Source organism: Homo sapiens, chromosome 11 (assembly GCF_000001405.40).
Source record: "Homo sapiens chromosome 11, GRCh38.p14 Primary Assembly".
NCBI lineage: Eukaryota > Metazoa > Chordata > Mammalia > Primates > Hominidae > Homo > Homo sapiens.
Window position 1 is genome coordinate 318,217 of NC_000011.10, and position 16,899 is coordinate 335,115.

General features: G+C 54.5%; 1 protein-coding gene and 1 long non-coding RNA gene across 8 annotated transcripts, besides 9 other annotated features; one reads left to right on the top strand and one right to left on the bottom strand.

The window, feature by feature from the left end:
- Positions 215-770: an enhancer, noted in NCBI's record as "H3K27ac-H3K4me1 hESC enhancer chr11:318431-318986 (GRCh37/hg19 assembly coordinates)". NCBI's record gives its function as "activates a minimal SCP1, AML or CMV promoter by ChIP-STARR-seq in naive H9 embryonic stem cells {active_cell/tissue: H9 hESC(naive)}" and the evidence as "EXISTENCE:reporter gene assay evidence [ECO:0000049][PMID:30033119]".
- Positions 244-15,473, top strand: IFITM3-AS1 (IFITM3 antisense RNA 1). 6 transcript variants are annotated; one of them, XR_007062537.1, is made up of 6 exons: positions 244-530; positions 5,895-9,412; positions 11,767-12,936; positions 13,025-13,126; positions 13,652-13,813; positions 14,487-15,473. It is a non-coding gene; the product is annotated as an IFITM3 antisense RNA 1 (long non-coding RNA). The 6 variants fall into 6 exon arrangements; XR_007062536.1 differs by having other exon boundaries at positions 13,028-13,126; XR_007062539.1 differs by having other exon boundaries at positions 5,895-5,931; positions 6,355-9,412; positions 11,767-13,126.
- Positions 771-1,326: an enhancer, noted in NCBI's record as "H3K27ac-H3K4me1 hESC enhancer chr11:318987-319542 (GRCh37/hg19 assembly coordinates)". NCBI's record gives its function as "activates a minimal SCP1, AML or CMV promoter by ChIP-STARR-seq in naive H9 embryonic stem cells {active_cell/tissue: H9 hESC(naive)}" and the evidence as "EXISTENCE:reporter gene assay evidence [ECO:0000049][PMID:30033119]".
- Positions 1,460-2,644, bottom strand: IFITM3 (interferon induced transmembrane protein 3). 2 transcript variants are annotated; one of them, NR_049759.2, is made up of 2 exons: positions 2,349-2,644; positions 1,460-1,769 (listed from the first exon to the last, which is right to left on the bottom strand). NR_049759.2 is itself a non-coding variant. In NM_021034.3 (2 exons), the coding sequence occupies exons 1-2, from the start codon at positions 2,595-2,597 to the stop codon at positions 1,622-1,624; spliced, it is 402 nt and encodes a 133-aa protein (NP_066362.2). In that variant the 5' UTR covers positions 2,598-2,644; the 3' UTR covers positions 1,460-1,621. The 2 variants fall into 2 exon arrangements, 1 of the variants encoding a protein (NP_066362.2); NM_021034.3 differs by having other exon boundaries at positions 1,460-1,774.
- Positions 2,439-2,994: an enhancer, noted in NCBI's record as "H3K27ac-H3K4me1 hESC enhancer chr11:320655-321210 (GRCh37/hg19 assembly coordinates)". NCBI's record gives its function as "activates a minimal SCP1, AML or CMV promoter by ChIP-STARR-seq in naive H9 embryonic stem cells {active_cell/tissue: H9 hESC(naive)}" and the evidence as "EXISTENCE:reporter gene assay evidence [ECO:0000049][PMID:30033119]".
- Positions 8,281-8,420: an enhancer, noted in NCBI's record as "active region_4268". NCBI's record gives its function as "activates an Ori minimal core promoter by ATAC-STARR-seq in GM12878 lymphoblastoid cells {active_cell/tissue: GM12878}" and the evidence as "EXISTENCE:reporter gene assay evidence [ECO:0000049][PMID:35858748]".
- Positions 8,841-9,210: an enhancer, noted in NCBI's record as "active region_4269". NCBI's record gives its function as "activates an Ori minimal core promoter by ATAC-STARR-seq in GM12878 lymphoblastoid cells {active_cell/tissue: GM12878}" and the evidence as "EXISTENCE:reporter gene assay evidence [ECO:0000049][PMID:35858748]".
- Positions 9,271-9,320: an enhancer, noted in NCBI's record as "active region_4270". NCBI's record gives its function as "activates an Ori minimal core promoter by ATAC-STARR-seq in GM12878 lymphoblastoid cells {active_cell/tissue: GM12878}" and the evidence as "EXISTENCE:reporter gene assay evidence [ECO:0000049][PMID:35858748]".
- Positions 12,931-13,030: an enhancer, noted in NCBI's record as "active region_4271". NCBI's record gives its function as "activates an Ori minimal core promoter by ATAC-STARR-seq in GM12878 lymphoblastoid cells {active_cell/tissue: GM12878}" and the evidence as "EXISTENCE:reporter gene assay evidence [ECO:0000049][PMID:35858748]".
- Positions 15,113-15,666: an enhancer, noted in NCBI's record as "NANOG-H3K27ac-H3K4me1 hESC enhancer chr11:333329-333882 (GRCh37/hg19 assembly coordinates)". NCBI's record gives its function as "activates a minimal SCP1, AML or CMV promoter by ChIP-STARR-seq in primed H9 embryonic stem cells {active_cell/tissue: H9 hESC(primed)}" and the evidence as "EXISTENCE:reporter gene assay evidence [ECO:0000049][PMID:30033119]".
- Positions 15,667-16,220: an enhancer, noted in NCBI's record as "NANOG-H3K27ac hESC enhancer chr11:333883-334436 (GRCh37/hg19 assembly coordinates)". NCBI's record gives its function as "activates a minimal SCP1, AML or CMV promoter by ChIP-STARR-seq in naive H9 embryonic stem cells {active_cell/tissue: H9 hESC(naive)}" and the evidence as "EXISTENCE:reporter gene assay evidence [ECO:0000049][PMID:30033119]".

Below are 16,899 nucleotides of genomic sequence, written 5' to 3' on the forward strand. Positions count from 1 at the left end.
ACCAAGGGGCCCGCCCAGGAGCGCAGAGAAACCATTAAGGGGTCACAGGACCGGGCTCCCAGGGTGACTCCCTGGCCACCAAGTCCTCCAGCAGGTCACTCCTGGATTCCGGCTGGACCCCCTGCCCAGGGAGGGGCCCAGGAGACGCGGAAATCGGGTCCCCCGCGGGTGAAGGGGAGGTGGGAGCCCCAGAGGAGGGCGGGAAGGCTCGGCCGGGGACGTGCCCGAGGGGGAGGAGAGGGGCTCCCGTCCGGGTCCGGCGCTGCGGGTCTCAGGGTCCGCGTCCCGCCCACCCCGCGGGGGTCTGGGCTGCGGGCGGAGCCTCCTCCGGGACCTGCACCTGCGCCGGCCGCCGCCAGGGGCGCCGCTGAGCACCCGCCTCCGCCGCTTCCCCCTCCCCGCCGGGCGGGGCCGCGCGCCTCCCACCCGGGACCCACTTCGGAGTTCGCCCCCTTCGGGACTCGCCTCCGGGAGACCCCCGAGGGGGAGAGGGCGCTTCCTCCGCGTCCATCGCCCTTGCCGCCCCTGGGGTGAGAGCGCGGCTCCGGGGCTGGGGGCGGGAAAGGGTGGGGAGGGCGAGTAGATCCAGACCTGGAGTCGCGGGTGGACGGCGGGGCGGGGGCGCGCATGGCCACCCCAGCTCCCACCGCGGCCGCCCATGGGGCACCCCACATGCGCACACCGGAGACCGAACCGGGGAAGGGCGCTGTAACCAGGTCGGGGCGGGGGTGTCTGTCCGGGGGCTCAGACCCGGGTAGAGGTAACTTCGATGAGGGTCGCTCCACTCTCCTGCGCCGCCCCCACCACGGGGGAGCAGGGCCCATACCCGCTGGACGGGAGGGGGCAGCTGCCACGAAGCAGCACCTGGTCACCCAGGAGGGGCTGCGAGGCCCGGGGCTCCTTCAGCTGCTGCCCTGGGCACAAAGCCCCCTCCCTCCCACGGGCCCTGAGCTGCCCACATCTGCAGGACTGGCTGCTCCAGACAGCTCGGAGGCAGGCAGCGCGGTGCCCCCTCCACCCCGAGGAACTAAAGCCAGGTCCCCAGCACCACAGAGCAGGGCCTGGGAGCAGCTGGGGAGCCGGTGCCACCTTGCCCCTCCCTGGCCCTGCTGGGGGCTTAACCCTTCCCTCTGTCCTGAGCCGACAGCCTGGATTGCCGACAGGCCGCGAGCGTGGCCTTGGGCCCAGGGTGTCCCGGACTCAGCACTGACGTTCCCGGAAAGAGCCCACGTTGAGTAGGAGCTGAGACCTGCAGGACACAGGAACTCCTCCCAGGGTCCTGGATCCAGCTGCTGCTCACGGCAGGAGGCCCGAAACCAGAAGGCCTGAGCACTTGCCCGGTCCCCAAGAGATGCACAGAGGCCGGAAGGGGCAGTGCAGGGGCTGACCAACCTGCTCAGTCTCAGAACCACGCTCCGAACCCTCAGCCAGACCCCTCCCCAGGTGAAGTCGCAGCAGCACCAGAAACACGTGCACTTTATTGAATGCCATTGTAGAAAAGCGTGTGAGGATAAAGGGCTGATACAGGACTCGGCTCCGGGGGCAGGGCGAGGAATGGAAGTTGGAGTACGTGGGATACAGGTCATGGGCAGAGCTCCTGGCCTCAGTGATGCCTCCTGATCTATCCATAGGCCTGGAAGATCAGCACTGGGATGACGATGAGCAGAATGGTCATGAGGATGCCCAGAATCAGGGCCCAGATGTTCAGGCACTTGGCGGTGGAGGCATAGGCCTGGGCCCCGGTCACGTCGCCAACCATCTTCCTGTCCCTAGACTGGGGGAGAGGAGATGGTGAGGGGACCAGGATCCCCCAGCTGAGAGCCGCGTGCTATGGCTCCGTCTCCTCATTGGCTCTCCCCGCCCTGAGATCAGGGACCACCTCCTCCCCTTCCTCACCCGGGCTCAGACTCTCCAGGAGCCTCGGGGCTCATCCTCCTTCTGCCTTGACCTCAGCACAGGCTGTTCTCCCCACCATGGGGTGAAGTCACCTGTGAGTTCCCTTCTCACTTTCTGGGAGAGCCTGGGTGCCAGTCTGGAAGGTGAAGGTGTAATTTCTTACTGGGCTATAGGGAGAACTGCTCTGGGCTAGTGGATAGCCGGGGACAGACTCTGAGCCAGCCAGCCAGCCTCCTGGAGCCTCCTCCTAAACCTGCACTGGGCAGATTCCCCAAGCCACACACACACACAGATCACACAGACAAAGCCACTGACGTGGGCACACACGGGACAGAGGTGCACACAAACTCACAGTCACAGGGACACACAAGTCCCCACCCCAGGCAGCATGTGGGCAGGTGGAGCTCCAGGCTCAGCGGCACCCTCTGAGCATTCCCTGGGGCCATACGCACCTTCACGGAGTAGGCGAATGCTATGAAGCCCAGGCAGCAGGGGTTCATGAAGAGGGTGTTGAACAGGGACCAGACGACATGGTCGGGCACGGAGGTCTCGCTGCGGATGTGGATCACGGTGGACGTCGGGGGAGCAGGGTTGTGGGGCGCCCCCAGCACAGCCACCTCGTGCTCCTCCTTGAGCATCTCATAGTTGGGGGGCTGGCCACTGTTGACAGGAGAGAAGAAGGTTTGGACAGTGTGATTCATGGTGTCCAGCGAAGACCAGCGGCGGTCGGGTTACTGGGATGGTTCTCAGTGAGCCCTCCCTTTCCCCAGTAGTTTCGGTTTCTCAACAGTTTCCTTTTCCTGGCATTTGTCAAATCGGGATTTGGCCGGGGCCAGATGAGGGCGGAACAAATTCCTGAGGATCAAATTACTTTAGGAGAGGGAGGAAAGAGGGGCTGAGGGCTAAGAGGGGCTTCCTCTCTAGAGCCCAAGGGAGCACAAGGCTCATCTTGTTAGTGGTGTGGGGTCCTGGAGACTTCCCCTGTGTTGGGGGTCTCCACACCCCAGGCCAGCAGCTGCAGGACCCCACTGTCCCGGTTCAGGGCTCCTGCCAGGCCTGCGCTGACGCCTCCACACTCCAGGCCCCACAACCGTTCCCCCAAAGCCCTCACCTCTGCCGGGCGCCGCGGCTCACGCCTGTAATCCCAGCACTTTGGGAGGCTGAGGTGGGAGGATCATGAGGTCAGGAGATCGAGACCATCCTGGCTGACACGGTGAAACCCCGTCTCCCATAACCCTCACTGTGGTGCCCAGGCAGCTGGATTATCCCATTACCTTCACTATGGTGCCCAGGCAGCTGGATTATCCCATTACCTTCACTATGGTGCCCAGGCAGCTGGATTATCCCATTACCTTCACTATGGTGCCCAGGCAGCTGGATTATCCCATTACCTTCACTATGGTGCCCAGGCAGCTGGATTATCCCATTACCTTCACTATGGTGCCCAGGCAGCTGGATTATCCCATTACCTTCACTATGGTGCCCAGGCAGCTGGATTATCCCATAACCCTCACTGTGGTGCCCAGGCAGCCGGATTATCCCATTACCTTCACTATGGTGCCCAGGCAGCTGGATTATCCCATAACCCTCACTGTGGTGCCCAGGCAGCCGGATTATCCCATTACCTTCAGTGTGGTGCCCAGGCAGCCGGATTATCCCATTACCTTCAGTGTGGTGCCCAGGCAGCTGGATTATCCCATAACCCTCACTGTGGTGCCCAGGCAGCTGGATTATCCCATTACCTTCACTATGGTGCCCAGGCAGCTGGATTATCCCATAACCCTCACTGTGGTGCCCAGGCAGCCGGATTATCCCATTACCTTCAGTGTGGTGCCCAGGCAGCCGGATTATCCCATTACCTTCAGTGTGGTGCCCAGGCAGCTGGATTATCCCATTACCTTCACTATGGTGCCCAGGCAGCTGGATTATCCCATAACCCTCACTGTGGTGCCCAGGCAGCCGGATTATCCCATTACCTTCAGTGTGGTGCCCAGGCAGCCGGATTATCCCATTACCTTCAGTGTGGTGCCCAGGCAGCTGGATTATCCCATAACCCTCACTGTGGTGCCCAGGCAGCTGGATTATCCCATTACCTTCACTATGGTGCCCAGGCAGCTGGATTATCCCATAACCCTCACTGTGGTGCCCAGGCAGCCGGATTATCCCATTACCTTCAGTGTGGTGCCCAGGCAGCCGGATTATCCCATTACCTTCAGTGTGGTGCCCAGGCAGCTGGATTATCCCATAACCCTCACTGTGGTGCCCAGGCAGCTGGATTATCCCATTACCTTCACTATGGTGCCCAGGCAGCTGGATTATCCCATAACCCTCACTGTGGTGCCCAGGCAGCCGGATTATCCCATTACCTTCAGTGTGGTGCCCAGGCAGCTGGATTATCCCATAACCCTCACTGTGGTGCCCAGGCAGCTGGATTATCCCATTACCTTCACTATGGTGCCCAGGCAGCTGGATTATCCCATTACCTTCACTATGGTGCCCAGGCAGCTGGCGTTCAGGCCTGCTCAGGCGTCTCATGACCTTCACTGTACTTCTTAGATAAAACAGAATACTTGAAGTCACTAGTTACAGAGAACAGGAATCTATAAACTCATTCCAAAAACAAAGGAAAATTTGTTTTTTCTTCTCCCTGTGTTAAGGGAGTGCTGGGAGAGTCTCAGAGCACATTAGATAATATTATCAGGACTTTTCCTGGGTCTCAGCTGTGTCTGCTGCTGCCTCCGGGACGAGTCAGCCTGATACAGGAAAACCTATTTCTCTTTCTTTTTAATTTTAATTTTATTTAATTTCCTGCCTCATTCCCTTCCCCTCTGAGGCCTTTTATTGTTATTATTTATTTTATTTATTTATTTTTTTGAGTCGGAGTCTTGCTCTGTCGCCCAGGCTGGAGTGCAGTGGCACGATCTCGGCTCACTGCAAGCTCCGCCTCCCAGGTTCACGCCATTCTCCTGCCTCAGCCTCCTGAGTAGCTGGGACTACAGGCGTCTGCCACCACACCCGGCTGACTTTTTGTGTTTGTAGTAGAGACGGGGTTTCACGTGTTAGCCAGGATGGTCTCGATCTCCTGACCTCATGATCCGCCCGCCTCGGCCTCCCAAAGGGCTGGGATTACAGGCGTGAGCCACCGCGCCCAGCTCTTGACAAAATTTCTTTAGCAGCTGCTTGAGTGTCCAGTTCATGCATTCCACTTTACCTGAGCTCTGCAGCCTGTAAGCTGTATGTAATTTCCACTTTATTTTTAATAATCAAGTTAAGTCCTGAACTATTTCAGCCATAAATATTGGGCTATTGTCTGATCTTAGAGTTAGAGGCAGTCCAAATCTGGGAATAATGTCTCTTAACAACACCTTGGTTACTTCTAGTGCCTTCTCTGTCCGGGTGGGGAAGGCCTCAACCTCCTGAAAAGGTGCAAATGAACACCCACGTGCACTGATAACCCCCCTCTCAGGGTACTTCCTCGAAGTCCGTACCACAGTTTTTCACAGGGTATGGCTGCCTGGCTCCTGTTTCCTGAACTCCTGGGGGCCGAGTAGGCCCTTGTCATGCATTGTTCTGAGCACGAATTTAACACCATTTGTTTACAAATGGCTCGAGTAATAGCAGTGAGCCATGGCACATAGAAATGATGCCTTAACAGGGCCAGGCGCGGTGGCTCACGCCTGTAATCCCAGCACTTTGGGAGGCCGAGGTGGGCGGATCACAAGGTCGGGAGATCGAGACTAACACGTGAAACCCCGTCTCTACTAAAAATACAAAAAAAATTAGCCGGGTGTGGTGGCGGGCACCTGTGGTCCCAGCTACATGGGAGGCTGAGGCAGGAGAATGGCGTGAACCTGGGAGGCGGAGCTTGCAGTGAGCCGAGATCACGCCACAGCACTCCAGCCTGGGGGATAGAGCGAGACTCTGTCTCAAAAAAAAAAAAAAAAGAAATGATGCCTTAATAACGTCTTTAGTGCTGGTTTTTTGGGTTTTTTTTCCAGTGGAACTGTTTTACAAATCTGAGGGCCACCATTCCAGGTATGGCTAGCCTCCCGTTGGAAAATTTTTACCATCTTTCTTCAATGTAGTTCTTATTCTTGTGGGCAAACCAAGACTTTTCGTTTGGAGGGGACCTTGGGATCCCCAGGAGGGGAATCTCCGGGAGCGGGAGGCATAGCTAAGGCTTCCTCTCTAGAAGGTGGAGTTGTCGTTGCAGCCCGTTTGCCTCTTCGTCTGCCTTTCTGCTTTGCTGCTTTTCGGGGCCTCCTGCAGCGCATCACTGCCACCTCTTCCAGGGCCCACACAGCGTTTAACAGAGGTGGAATTTCCTCCTTATACTTTGTTTTTTCACTTCCAGCCGTTAAAAGTCTTTTATTCTTTGTAAACAGCCTCATGAACATGCAAAGTGGCAGAAGCATATTTGGAATCTGTGTAAATACTTGCCTTCTGCTCTTTTCCTAGCCAGAGAGCTCTTGTCAGAGCTATTAGCTCTGCTTTCTAAGCAGAAGTTTCTGCAGACAGAGACGGTACCTCTACTGCTGAGTCCAAAGTCACCGCGGCATACCCAGCTCGGCAGACTCCCCTTAGTACGAAACTGCTTCCATCAGTAAAATATTCAATGTCCAGGTCCCCGAGGGGCCAATCTGTTAAATCTTTCCAGCTTGAGAACACTTTATCTACCACGTCCACACAGCAATGAAGGGGACTTCCTGTGTAGGGTCCAGCCCTACGGGGGCTTAGCGGGTGTTCTCCCCGTGTGCAGAGACAAGAGATCGTAAGAAATAAAGACACAAGACAAACAGATAAAGAGAAAACAGCTGGGCCCAGGGGACCACTACCACCAAGACATGGAGACCGCTAGTGGCTCCGAACGGCTGGCTGCGCTGATATTTATTGAATACAAGACAAGGGGGCAGGGTACGGACGGTGAGTCGTCCAAGTAATTGATAAGGTGAAGCAAGTCACGTGATCATAGGACAGGGGGCCTTTCCCTCTTAGGTAGCCGAGCAGAGAGAGAAGGCAGCATACGTCAGCGTTTTCTTCTATGCACTTATAAGAACAATCAAAGACTTTAAGACTTTCACTATTTCTTCTACCGCTATCTACTACGAACTTCAAAGAGGAACCAGGAGTACGGGAAGAGCATGAAAGTGGACAAGGAGTGTGATCATTCAAGCACCACAGGGAGGGGGTTAGGCCTCCGGATGACTGCAGGCCAGGCCTGGAGAATATCCAGCCTCCCACAAGAAGCTGGCGGAGCAGAGTGTTCCCTGACTCCTCCAAGGAAAGGAGACTCCCTTTCACGGTCGGCTAAGTAACGGGTGCCTTCCCAGGCACTGGCGTTACCGCTTGACCAAGGAGCCCTCAAGCGGCCCTTATGTTGGCGTGACAGAGGGCTCACCTCTTGCCTTCTAGGTCACTTCTCACAACGTCCCTTCAGCACCTGACCCTATACCCGCCGGTTATTCCCAGGTTATATAGTAATGGAACAAAGAGTAATATTAAAAGCTAATGATTAATAATGTTTATAATAACGATTGATAATTGTCCGTGATCATCTCTATATCTAATTTGTGTTATGACTCTATGACTGTTCTTATTCCATTTTCTTTATTATACTGAAACAGTTTGTGCCTTCAGTCTCTTGCCTGGGCACCTGGGTCATCCTCCACCCACAGCTGACTTCACACCGTGCTCTTCCTTGAGCATGTCTCAGGTTTCCGGGAAGCTGATGTTTTTGGGAGTGCAGAAGGCTTGGGAAGTGTGGTTCCTGGTCTCTTACGTGGCCGTCTGTGGAGTAGCGTCCGGACGCTGGGGTACCGTGGGAAGGGTGGTTCCCGGTCTCTTACGTGGCCGTCTGTGGAGTAGCGTCCGGACGCTGGGGTACCGTGGGAAGGGTGGTTCCTGGTCTCTTACGTGGCCGTCTGTGGAGTAACGTCCGGATGCTGGGGTACTGTCTCTGGCAGGGCTGTTTTCTCAGGCACCTTCTCCCACCTGGACTCAAGGGTTCTGCTTTCTTAGAAGTTTCTGTTTCCTGCTGTTTGGAAATTCGTGAATTGTGTGAGGTCTGAGGAGGGGGGTAACACATTTCTGAACGTGAAGTTATACATTGAGGGTGGGTAGAAGCACTGTGGGCTAAGGAGGCTTCTCTGCAGGACCCCATCAGGACGGTGTCAGGGCGTGTGGAAACACTGTAGGCTAAGTAAGCAGGCTTCTCTGCAGGACCCCATCAGGACGGTGTCAGGGCGTGTGGAAAAACTGTAGGCTAAGTAAGGAGGCTTCTCTGCAGGACCCCATCAGGACGGTGTCAGGGCGGGTAGAAGCACTGTGGGCTAAGTAAGGAGTCTTCTCTGCAGGAGCCGCATCAGGACAGCGTCAGGTGACTCCAACCTCCTCTTGTAGGGGTGCCAGAGGCCCCTGTGCGCTTTACCAGGCCTGGGAGTCTCCTCTCCTCACCCCAGCTGCTGCAGGACCTCACTGTCTTGGTACAGGTCCCTGCCAGGCCCCAATGGGGCTTCCACACTCCAGGCCCCACAGGGAGCCCCTCAAGCCTTCGCCTCTCTCGTCACAGGCCTCCTCTGCTGAAATCTTCCCTTTTCTGGGGCTGCGGTCCTGCTCTATGTGGGTTCAGAGGCCTAAGCCTCCCCGTGTCTCCTGGTGCAGGTCAGAGACCCAGTGGCCACTGCTCCTGCCCCACAGCAGCCCTCCAGGCCCAGGACCGGGGACGACAGGGAGCACTGACTGAAGAGGAGGCTGTCTTTGGACACGGGGAGGATTCCAGGGCCTGTGGGGGCAGCTTCGGTGCTCAGGGCTCACACGTGTGACCCCCTCCTTCCGCTTTCCGGGGCCCCTTTGTTTTATAAAATGCCACAGAGGTCGAGGGGACATGAGGGTCAGGGGGGAGGGGGGTTCCTGGACTCGGGGCCACACCCAGTAGGGCTTGGGCAGGGCTCTAGGGCCCCACTGGCCAAAAGCTTCCTGAGATTACAGCAGTTTCCTCTTCCTGCCTCAGTGCCCCACGGACAGGGGGTGCGATCTGAGCAGAATGAGGTGACGTCACTGGGTCAGCGGCTCCTGTGGCATCTGGCCAAGGACAATGTGCTGAGAAGTTTCCCCTGAAAAAATCAGAAACAAAACTCACCTCAGGAGAGGCCCCTGCACCCTCCAAGAGGAAGTGGGAGTCACGTGAGGCTCGTCTTGATTGGGGTTCCTGGAGAGGAGGCCCCCTCTCCCCAGGTGGGGGCTCCTGTTTCCCCTGCTCTGCTCTGAGGTCCCCAGGGTCCAGTCCCCTCCCCACCCTATCCTGGAGCTTGTCAAGGCCACCAGAGACCTGCTCCCTGTGCCGTCTCAGACTGGACTCTGGGGTCTCCGGTGCCTCCTCTGATTCTGCACCTCGGTGCAGCCTCTGGCCTGGCTGCGCTCTGAGGAGCTCCCTGTGGCCACCGAGCCCTTGGAACGTGGCCAGTTCCATTCTCAAACTGCTGTGAGTGCAAAGCTCATGCTGGATTTTGAAGATTTGGTGAGAAAAAAAATTTCTTTGTAAAATGTCAGTATTTCATCAATAGTATATTTTGTTGATGATATGTTGAGAAACTATTTTGGATATGTTTGTTTAAGTAGATTGCTGGCCAGGCATGGTGGCTCACTCCTGTAATCCCAGCACTGGGAGGCCAAGGCAAGAGGATCGCTTGAGGCCGGGTGGTTGAGGCTGCCGTGAGCTGTAATGGTGCCACTGCCCTCCAGCATGGATGACAGAGACCCCACCTCTAAAAACAATTAATTAATTAAAATTAAATCAGTAAAAAATTTTTTTAATTAAAATTTTAAAAAATAGATTATTAAAACAAATATCACCCATTTACTTTTGCTTTTTTAGAAACATTGGTACTGGAAGATTTAGCATTGGGTGTGCAGGGCCCACCCTCTTCGCTCATGTCACTGGCCCCTTCCACTGGCGGCATTGCAGGGGGAGCCGCCGTGCATCCAGAAGTGAGGGTCCTGGCCTGGAGATCTGCTCCCGCAAGTCCCCCAGGACTCCGGCTTCCTCTCAGGGGTTCACTTCTTTCTTGAATTAGAGCTGGGTCTCCTGGCCACAAAGGAGCTGTATCTTTGAGGCTTGGAGCCTTCCCCAAATATGCCTCGTATGGCACGGGGCAGGCCTCTGGGCAGTGGGCAGCGGGGGCTCGCTGCTGCCAGTCCCTGACCCCCGCCTTGGTGTGAGTGCTTCAAGTGGCTTCCCCACTGCCGTTCAAACACGATAACTTCAGAAGGTGGCATTTGTACCTGACATCTTGGGAATCTTAAGACTTTTTCTAATGGTTTCCAAGGACAGGCTAATAATCAGAGAGATGAGAACAACCTGGTCATCATTAGGAAAACAAAATGTTCTCACTGCACAGGAAAATAAGGTTGATATTTCTGTGAACCTACTCAAATTAACACCCAATCAAAACCAATTTTTTTTTTTGAGATGGAATCTCACCCTTGTTACCCAGGCTGGAGTGCAATGGCGTGATCTCGGCTCACCGCAACCTCTGCCTCCCGGGTTCAAGCAATTCCCAGCCTCAGCCTCCCAAGTAGATGAGATTACAGGCATGAGCCACCACGCCCGGCTAATTTTGTACTTTTGGTAGAGACGGGATTTCTCCATGTTGGTCAGGCTGGTCTCGAACTCCCGACCTCAGGTGATCTGCCTGTCTCAGCCTCCCAAAGTGCTGGGATTACAGGTGTGTGCCACCATGCCTACCCACAAACTGATTTTTTAAAAATTTATCTAGATTGTAAAAAAATATATCTTCTTCTTTTTTTTTTTTTTTTTTTTCCTGAGACGGAGTCTCGCTCTGTCGTCCAGACTGGAGTGCAGTGGCGCAATCTCAGCTCACTGCAAGCTATGCCTCCCAGGTTCACACCATTCTCCTGCCTCAGCCTTCTGAGTAGCTGTGACTACAGGCACCCGCCACCACGCCTGGCTAATTTTTTGTATTTTTAGTACAGATAGAATTTCACCCTGTTAGCCAGGATGGTCTCAATCTCCTGACCTTGTGATCTGGCCGCCTCGGCCTCCCAAAGTGCTGGGATTACAGGTGTGAGCCACCGCGCCCGGCCTGTCTTCTTCTTCCTAAGTAAGTGAAGGAAATAATGTATACAGTGGTCCATTTCCAAGACAAAGTGCCTTAAATCAGCTTAGGTCAGCAAACTACAGAAGAAACAGGATATACTAGGCCCCTGCTTGGATAGCTGATGCCTTCTTGTCAGCCTTCTCCCTCCCCTTCTCCCTCCACTTAGTTGCCCTTACCCAAACCAGGGAAGTTTCGTCTAAGATAAAAGTTTACTAGCCTGCAAAATAGCTCGGTTTGTCTGTCCTTATCAGCCTGCCCAGCTACTTAGCTCATAAGTCAAATACGCAGAGCCCCTGGGCTGACTGGGATTGCAATGCATTGTGGGCTGCAACAAAATGCAGCAGGACAACCCAAAAGAAGACACCTAAAGCTGCTGCCCAACAACCAATGGGAAGACTGTGACCCCACAGTACTCAGCCTATGAGGATGCAGGGGAGGGGCCTGTGCACTGGGAGATAAATCGCTGGTTGTGACTGTGCTGTGAGTGCCTGCCCATCAGATAGATACCTGATCTTGCAAGACCGTCATCAAAAGTCTCACTTTTGCTGTCTTCTGCGTTTCTAAATCCATTCTTTGGGTTCGGGCGAGTGAGTTTGTTTCTCACAGTAAGCTCTAGAACTTTGTGACTTAGCAGTTTAAGGAAAAAGCAAGTCTCTGTGGGGTCTCTCAATGGCCAAAAAATAGAGTGAGGAATAAATAGAGTTTTGTTTTGTTTTGTTTTGGTTTGTGGGTTTTGTTTCTTTGTTTGAAACAGGGTCTCACTCTGTCACCCAGGCTGAAGTGCAGTGGCACCATCACAGATCACTGCAGACTCCACCTCCTGGGCTCAAGCAATCCTCCTGTCTCAGCCTCCCGAGTAGCTGGAACTCCCAAGTAACACACACATTAGCATGCCCAGCTAATGTTTAAATTAGGGTTTTAATTCACAGAGAAATAAAGAGCATCTGAGCATTCATCTTCCACAAAAGCAATCTGAAATTGTCTCTGTAAGTGGGCGCCCTGTCTTTCTGCAGGCTCAGAGTGGAGAATGAGGTTGCATCTCAGGATGGCCACAGCGCCTTCCTTCCCAAGCCCTTTCTTCAGCAGCCGTGGTGGGAGCTGCAGCCGAAAAGCCCCTTTGGAGTTGCAGCTAGAGGGTGCCTTCCAGGAGCTGCTGGGCCAGCTTCACCAATGCCTGCAGACGGTCAGGACAGATTCAGAGAAGCTCTGGGTCAGAACGAGGGTGAAAAGCCCCTTCCTCGAGCTTCCGGTCGAACAGCCCCATGGGGGTGCCCTGACCTTCTTGCTCTAATGCAGCTGCTGTTCCCCGGGGCAGCGACTCCCCTTCTCTCCCTCCCAAGTGCGGCCCTGCCCTCTTCACAGGCACACACCCCACAGCACGTGCAGTGCCTCAAGGCGCCCGAGGTGCACGGGGAGGCCCATCAGTGCTGTTCCCCAAGCCTCCAGCTTTCTTGCTGGAATCTTTCTTTCCCACCCCTTTGCAGCTTGGCATGAGCTTGTCACTTGAGGTGGCCAGTGAGATGTTGTGGGCATGAGAGGTGGTGCCAAGAGATCAGGCGTGACTCCACCTCCCGTTCCCACCTCGGAGGCCTGGCAGCACACGCTGGGGGCTCCCCAACCTGGGCGGCTGGGCGAGGACGAGGCGCAGACCCCACACCTGCCACAGGCCCACACTGGAGGGAGTCAGCGGCTGAGGGTCGGGCCGTTCGTTACCACCGCACAGCCTGGCTCATCCTGGCTGACTCGGGGCAGTGCTGCCCGGGCCAGGCGGAGCAGGGAGGACGTGGTGGGGTGTTTGGAAGGCGGAGCAAGAACCTAATAAATGTGAGCCCTGGACTCTGAGGCCGGGCAGCGAATGTTCTGCGGGTGCTGTCTGCGGCCGGATGTGGGTTTTGGCATCATGAGCTCAGGAGAGAACTGGCCGGTGGGTGAGCAGGTGCGAAAGGAAACCGAGAAAACCCGGGGGGTACTTTGTGGGTTAAAAGAGGCAACTGCCTTTCCATCCTGACCAGCAGAAGGGAAGACTGCAGAGACCCTCGAATGTCGATCTCAGCGGTTGCGGCTAGGATGGAATCAAGAGCAGGCCACCGCACCCACCGCTGACAAATCTCCAGGTAGGGTCCGGCCAAGGGAATGGCCCAGGAAAGCCCTTTTATTGCACCAAATGCTCCAAGAAAAAGAGACTAAGGGAGTGATTCATGGTCTCAAGCCTGACCTGATGCCACGTTTTGTGCAGAGAGATTCTAGGGGGAGGGGGCAGTGGGGGCTGAGGACGGCCAAGGAAGGAAATGCAGCAAAGCCAAGAGCAGGGAGGACGAGCAGGTGTGACTCTGGAACAGGGACCTGACTAAATCAGACTGAAGTTTAAAAAGCTGATTTACGCCGGGTGCTGTGGCTCACGCCTGTAATCTCAGCACTTTGGGAAGTTGAGGCGGGCGGATCACTTGAGCCCAGGAGTTCACGACCAGCCTGGGCAACATGGTGAGACCCTGTCTCTACAAAAAGTATGAAAAAATAGCCAGTGGTGGTGGTGCATGCCTGTGGTCCCACCCACTCGGGAGACCGAGGTGGGAGGATCGCTCGAGCCCAGGAGGTCGAGGCTGCACTGAGTGTTGATTGGTCACGTCGCTGCACTCCAGCCTGGGTGACAGAGCCAGACCCTGCTGTCAGGCCTCCGAGCCCAAGCCTGGACGTGTACATCCAGATGGCCTGAGGCAACTGAAGAACCACAAGAGAAGTGAAAATGGCCAGTTCCTGCCTTAACTGACGACATTGCCTCATGAAATTCCTTCTCCTGGACAGTGAGTCTCAGAAGTTCCCCCACCCAGCACCCTGTGACCCCTGCCCCTGCCCGCCAGAGAACAAACCTCTTTGACTGCAATTTTCTGCTACCCACCCAGATCCTATAAAATGGCTCCACCCCATCTCCCTTTGCTGACCACCTGCACCCAGGTGATTAAAAAGCTTTATTGCTGGCCAGGTGCGGTGGCTCACGCCTGTAATCCCAGCACATTGGGAGGCCGAGACAGGCGGATCACGAGGTCAGGAGATGGAGACCATCCTGACTAACACGGTGAAACCCCGTCTCTACTAAAAATACAAAAAATTAGCCGGGTGTGGTGGCGGGCGCCTGTAGTCGCAGCTACTCGGGAGGCTGAGGCAGGAGAATGGCGTGAACCCGGGAGGCAGAGCTTGCAGTGAGCCGAGATCGTGCCACTGCACTCCAGCCTGGGTGACTGAGCCAGACTCCGTCTCCAAAACAAAAAAAAGCTTTATTGCTCACACAAAGCCTGTTTGATGGTCTCTTCACATGGACTCGCATGACACCTGCCTCAAAAAAAGAAAAAGAAAAAGAAAAAAAAGTTGATCAAAGATTTGAAAGAGTTGCACTGTCCTAAAAACACAGGCTGGATCCAAAGAGATCATGACAACTTGAGACTCAAAGTAGCCCTTGGGCCCCCCATGTCTCTATAGGCAAGAAAGGAGCTGAGGAAGCCACTCAACTCTCCAGCACCCACCCTGTGCGGCCACGGAGGACCGTGGGGATGGGAAGTGTCCCCTCCACCAAGCACAGCCCTCATCTCTTCCCGGAAGTTGCTCCCCGGCGTCAGCGTCCTCACCCAGCCACCCCTGGGACTTTGGAGTTGCTGCAGAGCATGACTGCTGGGATCTGCCTTCTTCCCTTCCAAACCGTCGAAGCCCCTGTCCCTGCTCCTTGGTTGAATACTGGGGGCGTGGGCAGAAAACTCTTCATCTTTTTAATTCAGGGCCCTCCAGCTTGGGAGGAGACACAGCTAGGCTGGATGCGGCAACTTGTGTACTTTTGACCTTCATGTAGCTGGAGGACACCGGGTTGCCCTTGAGGAAGCAGGTGTATTTTGCCTGCAGGAAGGGCAGTCTTCTGAGTACCTCGCAGGTGTCTGGATGTGGTGCGCATTAGTGCTGTTCATCAGACACCTTCAGCTGTCCTCTGGGCAGATGGCAGGGTTGTGTCTTCCTGTGGAGTTCCTTCCTTTCGCCTCAGTGACCACGGAGACGCATGTCGAGGTGTGACCTCGCCTGGGCCTCTGCATGAGGGTGGGGAGCAGAGTCCTCCTTAGTGGGAGTGGAGCGTGCACAGGACGTAATTACGTGGGGCCATTTGTTACGCAGCCTAACACAGCCTGTCCTGGCTGATGCAGATGGCCATTGCAGCAGTCATCTGCAGGTCCTCAGCTTAGTCTCACCCTCACTGGAGATCTTAGCCTTGGCCTCACAGGTGCTCCAGACCTTTTCCTGGCAGAATTTTGGTGACTTCAGAAATATGATGACTGCTGAACCCACTTCTCCCAGCATTTCTATTTGTGGTTGCCTGGTGTATTTAAAGTCTGTGTTGATGGGTGCATATATTTTTAACGTTTCCCTATTGTGAAATTTAATAAATTTACAGCAAAATGTATAAAATACGAAAGTAAAAAACTATCACCCTAGTCAAAAAATGGTGCATTACCCATCCCCGAGAAGATGCCTGCCTGTCCCTGCCCAGTCACGACTTTCACTCGCGTCCGTCCATGTGAAGAGACCACCAAACAGGCTTTGTGTCAGCAATAAAGCTTTTTAATCACCTGGGCGCAGGCGGGCTGAGTCCAAAAACAGAGCCAGCGAAGGGAGATAGGGGTGGGGCCGTTTTATAGGATTTGGGTGGGTAAAGGAAAATTACAGTCAAAGGGGGTTGTTCTCTGGCGGGCAGGGGTGGGGGTCACAAGGTGCTCAGTGGGGGAGCTTTTCCAGCCAGCATGAGCCAAGAGAAGGAATTTCACAAGATAATGTCATCAGTTAAGGCAGGAACAGGCCATTTTCACTTCTTTTGTGATTCTTCACTTGCTTCAGGCCATCTGGGCGTATATACGTGCAGGTCACAGGGGATACGGTGGCTTAGCTTGGGCTCAGAGGCCTGACAACCACCCCTCCCATCCCAAAGACCACCACTCCGGACTTCTGTGGTGAACACATTCTTGCTTTTTGTCAGGATTTCAACACCCACGTGTGGGTTAAACCAAACCTAATCGAGTGTTGGCTAAACCCAAACACGATGAGTTAGAGCTTCCAACATCTAAGTTCTTGGACGTCTGCTGATTAGGGTTTTCTATGGAGGCCTCATTATGTAGGGACGATTGCTTAAATCATTCCCCTAAGGACTGACTCAATCCAGTCCCTCTCCCCTCCCCACAGGCTGAGGGTGGGGCCGGCAGTTCCAGCCCTCAAATCGCCTGGCAACCAGAGCCCCTTTCCAAAGGCCTCTCACAGCGTAAACGCAGGTGTGGTTGAGAGGAGCTCTATCTTTACTCCTCATCGCCTCGGAATCACAAGGATGTTAGGGGCTCTGCAGAACCGGGAACGAAGGCCAAGCCGGTTTTTCTTACTGTATCACCGTATCCATTTCCCATTCCTTGAAAAAATCTTCAAGTTTACCTTTTGTTTCCAAAAGCATAGCGCGCACCGCTGCTTTATTGTCTGGGAATTCCAGCACCCGGAGTTTTTGCTGCCTGTGGCTCCGCTTGTCCCTCGCCCTCACTGTCTTCTCTCTCCACGGTGCCTGTTTATGCTTCATTGTTGGACACGGAGCGACTTCCAGGCCTGGGGTGTTATCTCCATCAGGGGAGGATTGCCTGCTGATTCCGTCAGGCACCGGGAATCACCCAAGTTCAGTTTCAGAGAACTTTTCCATATTTCTGGGTCTTTTCTTAAAATGTATCTCTTATTAAATCTGTCTTTTAATTCATATTTATTATAATAATTCTTCTACAAGGACATTTCTGCCATAGTTTTTATATTTTCTATTTGCCCTACTTTTGGGGTTTTTTTCTTTTGGTGATTATCATGAGAGATTTTTTCTTTTATAACTTTT

Coding starts and splice junctions, on each gene's coding strand:
- IFITM3 (NM_021034.3), bottom strand. CDS start 2,597: ATGAATCACACTGTCCAAACCTTCTTCTCTCCTGTCAACAGTGGCCAG. Junction 1,775..2,348: donor CATTCGCCTACTCCGTGAAG/GTGCGTATGGCC, acceptor CCTCTCCCCCAG/TCTAGGGACAGGAAGATGGT.